The 7,777-nt window shown below is 41.4% G+C and overlaps 2 annotated features.

Moving 5' to 3' along the window:
• Nucleotides 6,690–6,984: a silencer, noted in NCBI's record as "tiled region #7771; HepG2 Repressive non-DNase unmatched - State 21:Repr". NCBI's record gives its function as "represses a minimal TATA promoter and a strong SV40 promoter by Sharpr-MPRA in HepG2 cells {active_cell/tissue: HepG2}" and the evidence as "EXISTENCE:reporter gene assay evidence [ECO:0000049][PMID:27701403]".
• Nucleotides 7,614–7,703: an enhancer, noted in NCBI's record as "active region_24708". NCBI's record gives its function as "activates an Ori minimal core promoter by ATAC-STARR-seq in GM12878 lymphoblastoid cells {active_cell/tissue: GM12878}" and the evidence as "EXISTENCE:reporter gene assay evidence [ECO:0000049][PMID:35858748]".

The raw sequence follows: 7,777 nt of genomic DNA on the forward strand, positions 1-7,777 counted from the left end.
ATTGAAGGACAGTGATCCTCAGAAGACAGAAAACCTTAAAATTGGCCCAGCTTTTTCTTGTAGGAAGTTTCTAGGCCAAGAAGCAAGGAAGAGAAACCCAGGAATAGCCTGTTGGTCTCCCTAAGTTGAGGAGATGGACGTGAGAGTCCAGGGAAGTCAAGGTAGCTAGAGCACACAGAGAAGACCACCCGAGAGGAGACATTCAAAGAACTCCAGAGATCTGCAGAGGGTCTGCCTTGCAACTGAGTCTCATCAGCACATGTATGTGAGGAAAATATCCAATCAAGAGCAAACACTGCGCAGATTTCAGAGGATACTGCCTGCCAGATTTATGATTCCTGCTGAAAGCTTCAGGTGGGGAAGGACACATGGCTTGGAGTCCTTCCCTACCTCTCCCATCTGTTCCCATTTTTCACTGACTGAAAATCATCAGACTTTCAATCACCCCTTGAAGATACATTATTGCTATTGAATTTTTGTGTTTGGCTTTCTAGACTATTTGCAGTCTGACAATTTGTACCTTTAATGGCAGAAGTTACTCAACAATGAGCTGATCACATGACTCTATTAATCTTATTTTTTCCTGTTATATACTCCTCAGTAGTTTGATTGTTGTCCCCACAATGTGATTATAATGGGGTGTCCTCATAATGGGATTATCTTTATTAGGCTGCTACTGAATATGATTGGAACAAAAGGTGTGGGAAGTTATACAAATCTATTTTGAAAATTTTGAACATTCAGAGTTTTGCTTTGACTTGGCTTCTTGCATTGTTCTTCTTCCATTATTCTTTTTCCTACAGCCTGGCTTAAGGGAGCCTAGCAGATATCAGACTTAATCCTGGTTAAGTTGTATAAAAATGCTTTTCTATGAAAGTATTTTTCTCCCTCTTACACCCAAATCCTCTTGACAAAAGCTCTGAGTGAAAGTAGGAAATAATTGGGAAAAAAACATGAGATTATAGTTAGTGAGATGAGACACACAGAGTGTGTAATAATCAAGGAAGAGCAAAAACTTTGGTACCCAAAGAAGCAAATTTTAGACTCCAGAAAAAGTGTGGGGGTGGGGGTTGAGGGGGGAAGAAATAATGATTTGTTTTTATTTTTAAGAACTGCCTGTGGAAGCCTTCTCCTCCTGAAAAAACAAAAATACTATCTGTGAGCAGGTGGAGCAAGATGGCAAGTAGAAGCCTCCACCGATCTTCCTTCCTGCAGGAATACCAAATTTTACAACTATCTACACAAAAAAACACTTCATAAGAACCAAAAATCAGGTGGATGATCACAGTAACTGGTTTTACCTTCACAACACTGAAAGAGGCACTGAAGTGGATAGAAAAGACAGTCCCGAATTGCTGACACCACCCCTTCCCCATCTACCAGCAGTGGCCACATGGCATAGAGAATCGTGCACTTAGGGGAGGGAAAGCACAGCAACTGGAGGACTTTACACTGGAACTCAGCGCTGCCAACATGTGGCAGAACTCAGCCTGTGCCCACAGAGGGAACATTATAAAGAGCCACAGCAAGAGGGTATTCACCCATCCCAGCAGTTGGAACTGAGTCTTGGTTAGCCTCGCAATCGCAGGCTAAAGTGCTCTGTGATCCTAAATAAACTTGATAGGCTGTCTAGGCCACAAAGAGTGCACCTTCTAGGTAAATTGTGGAGATATGCTGGGATTGGAGCCAGTGGGTTTAGGGGACACATGACCAAGTCAGAGAGCAGTTGGTGCAGCTAAGGGAGTGCTTGCATCACCCCTGCCCCAACCCCAGGTAGCACAGCTTGCTGGTCCAAAAGAGACCCCTTCCTTCTGTTTGAGGAAAGAAGAGGGAAAAGTAAAGAGGACCTTGCCTTGCAACTTGGATACCAGCTCAGCCACAGCAGGACTGGGTACTGGGTATCAGTCATGAGGCCCCCTTTCCAGGCCCTAGCTCCTGGAAAACATTTCTAGACACACCCTGGTCCAGAAGGGAACCCACTGCCTTGAAAGGAAGGAGTCAGTCCTGGCAAGATTCATCATCTGCTGACTAAAGAGCTCTTGGGGCCTGAATAATCAGTAGTGGTAACCAACTAGTACATGCTGTGGGCCTTGGGTGAGACTCTGAGAGGGGCTGGCTTCAGGTGTGACCCAGCCTATTCACAGCTGTGATGGCTACAGCGAGAAACTTCTTCTGCCTGAGAAAAGGAGAGGGAAGTATACAGGGTACTTTGTCTTGCAGCTTAGGTACCAGCTTGACTACAGTGAGGAAGAGCACCAAGTGGGCTTGTGGGGTATCAATTTCCAGGCCTCGGCTTGTGGATGGTATATCTAGCCCAGGATGGACCTGCCCTGGGCTAGAGGGAGTCCAGTGCCCTAAAGGGTGAGTCCCAGGACTGGTAGCATTCACCATAAGCTGACTAAAGAGCCCTTGTGCATTAAGGGAACATTGGCCGTACTCTGGCAGTACTCCCTGTGGGCACGTGGTGGTAGTGGACACGGGGAGGCTCCTCTGCCTGGGTAAAAGGGAGGGAAGAGTGGAAAAGACTTAATCTTGTGGTTTCAGTGCCAGTGTAGCTGCAGTAGAATAGAGCCACCAGGTATATTTCTAAGGCTTCTGAATCTAGTCCCTGGGTCCTGGACATCATCTCTAGACCCACTGGAGCTCAGGGGAACTTGCCACCCTGAAGGGAAGGAAACAAGACTGGCTGGCTTCACTACTTGTTGATTGCAGAGCCCTGGAGACTTCAGCAAATATAGGTGGCAGCCAGATAGTGGTTACAGCAGGCCGTAGGTAAGACTCAGTACTATGCTCACTTCAGGTTTGACCCAGCCCAGTCCCAGTATTGGTGGCCACAGCGGTGCTTATGTCACCCCTCATCTAGCTTCAGGAAGCTCAGCACAGAGGGAGAGACTGTGTTTGTTTGGGAGAAAATAAGGGAAGAGAGCAAGAGTCTTTGTCTGGTAATCCAGATAATTTTTCCGGATCTTATTCAAGACCACCAAGGTGGTACCTCTACGAGTCTGCAAGAACTACAGTGTTAGTGGGCTTGGGGTGCCCTTAATGTAGATATGGCTGCAGCGACCAAAAACTTAGATTATATCACCCAAGTCCCTTCAAATACCTGGAAAGCCTTTTCAAGGTGGAGGTGTACAAACAAGCCCAAACTGTGAAGACAACAATAAATACCCAACTCTTTGATGCCAAGACAGTGATGAACGTACATAAGAATCAAGATCACTTTGGAAAATACAACCTCACTAAATAAACTAAATAGCAGGTGCCAATCCCAGAGAGACAGAGATATGTGACCTTTCAGACAGAGAATTCAAAATAGCTATTTTGAGAAAACTCAAAGAAATTCAAGCTAACACAGAGAAGGGATTCAGAATCCTATCAGGTAAATTTAACAAAGAAATTGAAATAATTAAATAGAATCCAGCAGAAATTCGGGAGTTGAAAAATGCAATTGACATACTGAAGAATTCATCAGAGTCTCTCAGTAGTAGAGTTGACCAAGCAGAAGAAGGAATAAGTGAACTTGGAGACGGTTACATGAAAATATACAGTCAGAGAGGACAAAAGAGAATAAAAAAGAATGAAGCACACCTACAAGACCCAGAAAATAGCCTCAAAAGTGCACACCTAAGAGGTATTGGCCTTAAAGAAAAGCTAGAGAGAGAGACAGGGGTAGAAAGTTTATCCAAAGGGTCCGGGCATGGTGGCTCAAGCCTGTATTCCCAGCACTTTGGGAGGCTGAGGCGGGTGGATCAGGTCAGGAGTTCAAGACCAGCCTGGCAAACATGGCAAAACCCTGTCTCAACTAAAAATACAAAAATTAGCCAGGCGTGGTGGCGGGTGCCTGTAGTCCCAGTTACTCAGGAGGCTGAGGCAGGAGAATCACTTGAACCTGGGAGGTGGAGGTTGCAGTGAGCCGAGATTGCACCATTGCACTCCAGCCTGGGTGACAGAGCGAGACTTTGTCTCAAAAAAAAAAAAAAAAAAAAAGAGAGAAAGTTTATCCAAAGGGATAATAACAGAGAACTTTCCAAAACTAGGGAAACATACTATTATCCAAGTACAAGAAGATTATATAACATCAAGCAGATTTAACCCAAAGAAGATTACCTCAAGGCACTTAAAATCAACTCTATGTTTAAGAGACATAGCTTAAAGTAATAAAAGCCATCTATGACAAACTCATAGCCAACATTATACTGAACAGGGAAAAGTTGAAAGCATTCCCCCCGAGAACTGGAATGAAACAAGGATGCCCACTTTCACCACTTCTGTTCAACATAGTACTGGAAGTCCTAGTCAGAGCAATCAGACAAGAGAAAGAAATAAAGGGCATCCAAACTGGTAAAGAGGAAGTCAAACTGTTGCTTTTGCTGATGATATGATCATATACCTAGAAAACCCTAAAGACCCATCCAAAAAGCTCCTGGAACTGGTAAATGAATTCAGTAAAGTTTCAGGATACAAAATTAATGTCCACAAATCAGTAGCTCTGCTATACACCAACAGCGACCAAGCTGAGAATCAAATCAAGAAATCAACCTCTTTTACAATACCTATAAAAATTAAATAAATAAATAAAATAAGGTACTTAAGAATACACCTAACCAAGGAGGTGAAGGACCTCTACAAGGAAAACTACGAAACACTGCTGAAAGAAATTATAGATGACACAAACAAATGGAAACACATCCCATGCTCATGGATAGAATCAATATTGTGAAAATGATCATACTGCCAAAAGCAATCTACAAACTCAATGCAATTCCCATCAAAATACTACCATCGTTTTTCACAGAACTAGGAAAAACAATCCTAAAATTCATAGGGAACCAAAGAAGAGCCCATATAGCCAAAGCAAGACTAAGCACAAACAAGAAATCTAGAGGCATCACATTACCCAACTTCAAACTATATACAAAGCCATAGTCATCAAAACAGCGTAGTGCTGGTATAAAAATAGGCACATAGACCAACAGAACAGAATAGAAACCCAGAAATAAAGCCAAATACTTGTAGCCAACTGATCTTCAGCAAAGCAAACAAAAACATAAAGTGGGGAAAGGACACCCTTTTCAACAAATGATGCTGGGATAATTGGTGACCCACATGTAGAAGAATTAAACTGGATCCTCATCTCTCACCTTATACAAAAATCAACTCAAGATGCATCGAAGACTTAAATCTAAGACCTGAAACCATAAAAATTGTACAAGATAACACCGGAAAAAACCTAGACATTGGCTTAGGCAAAGATTTCATGACCAAGAACCCAAAAGCAAATGCAACAGAAACAAAGATAGACAGGACTTAATTAAACTAAAAAGCTTCTGCACAGCAAAAGAAAAAATCAGCAGAGTTAACAGACAACCCACAGACTGGGAGAAAATCTTCACAATCTATACATCTGACAAAGGACTAATATCCAGAATCTACAAAGAACTCAAACAAATCAGCAAGAAAAAAAAAAACAACCCCATCAAAAAGTGGGCTTAGGACATGAATAGACAACTCTCAAAAGAAGATATGCAAATGGCCAACAAACATATGGAAAAAATGCTCAACACAGCTAATTATCAGGAAAATGTAAATCAAAACTACACTGCAAATCTACCTTACTCCTGCAAGAATGGCCATAATCAAAACATCAAAAAATAATAGACGTTGGCATGGATGTGGTGAAAAGAGAACACTTTTACACTGTTAGTGGAAATGTAAACTAGTACAACCATTATGGAAAACAGTGTGGATATTCCTTAAAGAACTAAAAGTAGATCTACCATTTGATCCAGCAATCTGACTACTAGGAAGAGGAATAACCACAGAAAAATAAGTCATTATACAAAAAAGATCCTTGCACATGCATATTTATAGGAGCATAATTCGTAATTGCAAAAATATAGAACCAGCCTAAATGCCCATCAATCAACAAGAGGATAAAGAAAATGGTGTATATACACATACATACACACACACACACACACACACACACAATGGAATAGTACTCAGCCATAAAAAGGAGCAAATACTGGTATTCACAGCAATCTGGATGGAACTGGAGACTATTATTCTAAGTGATGTAACTCAGGAATGGAAAACCAAATGTTGTATGTTCTCACTGATAAGTGGAAGCTAAGCTATGAGGACACAAAGGCATAAGAATGACACATAGGACTTCAGGGACTCGGGAAAGGGTGGGAGGGGGTGAGGGATTAAAGACATCGGGTACAGGATACACTGCTTGGGTTATGGGTGCACCAAAATCTCAGAAACCACCACTAAAGAACTTATGCATGTAACCAAACACCACCTGCTTCCTAAAAACCTATTGAAATAAAAAATACATTTTTATTTTTAAAAAATGTCCATACTACCCATACTACCCAAAACAATCTACAGATTGAATCCAATCCCCATCAAAATACCAATGACATTCTTCACAGAAGCAGAATAAACAATTCTAAAATTTATGTGGAACCACAAAAGACCGAGAATAATAGCAAAAGCTAACCTGAGCAAAAAGAACAAAACTGGAGGAATCACATTACATGACTTCAAATTCTACTACAGAGCTATAGTAACCAAAACAGCATGGTACTGGTATAAAAACAGACACACAGACAAATGGAACAGAATACAGTACCCAGAAATAAATCCACACACTTAGGGCATGGCTACACGGAGGAAGGGGTTTCTGAGCACAATACTCTGTGTGTGTTAACTTTGTAGTTTTGAAGTTAACAAGACCCTGGGCTCGCTATGCAGTCCGTATGTGATGTTGAACCCTTTACACACAGCACTAGACGGTTTTGAACCTATCAAAACACTGCTTCACTTAAATTTCACCAACTCCTTAAAATCCTAGTAAGTCTATGTTTTCCTTTGTTCCTATGTTCTCCTTTTCTCCCACTTTGTGGGTTGTCTGTTTACTCTGCTGATTATTTTTTTTGCTGTGCAGAAGCTTTTTAGTTTAATTAAGTTCAGTCTATTTATCTTTGTTTCTGTTGCATTTGCTTTTGGGTTCTTCATCGCGAAGTCTTTGCCTAAGCCAATGTCTAGAAGGTATTTTTCCGGTGTTATCTTGAGCAATTTTTATGACTTCGGGTCTTAGATTTAAGTCTTTGATGCATCTTGAGTTGATTTTTGTATAAGGTGAGAGATGAGGATCCAGTTTAATTCTTCTACATGTGGGTCACCAATTATCCCAGCACCATTTGTTGAAAAGGGTGTCCTTTCCCCACTTTATGTTTTTGTTTGCTTTGCTGAAGATCAGTTGGCTAATCAGATACCTCATAGCTCCTTTGTTGTATAATTTTGTGCATTGTAGATCAGGGTCAAAATGATAAAGGTGATTTTCTGGGACTACAGACTTGTCAATAACAGGTGGTCCTAGGCTGATAGAGGTAAACAAATAAAAGCTTTAAAAGAATATTCTCTGTTAAAATTTGCTTTCATAAATTTCATGTTTAAAATCATTTGTGAATAAATGTTAAAATAAAAAGGTGAGCCACGATTTTGGTAAGGCAATTTCTGAGCAAATCACACACAATTTTTTTTCATTCCCATTGATCTATTACATAGACGAATATTTGGTTGTGAAAAAGTGAGAGAAAGAACTCGGCTATTTTATTATAGTAGAGCAACACCGAAGGGAGACGACTTCGCTGTAGCTCAGAGTCTTTTTCCATTCTTCACCCACGCGCGGGGCAGTCGCGCGGCGCGGTCGCGCGGCGGGTAGGAACTACCATCCCAGCATCCTCTGCGGCGCGGGGAAGGAAGC

This window comes from Homo sapiens, chromosome 6 (assembly GCF_000001405.40).
Source record: "Homo sapiens chromosome 6, GRCh38.p14 Primary Assembly".
NCBI lineage: Eukaryota > Metazoa > Chordata > Mammalia > Primates > Hominidae > Homo > Homo sapiens.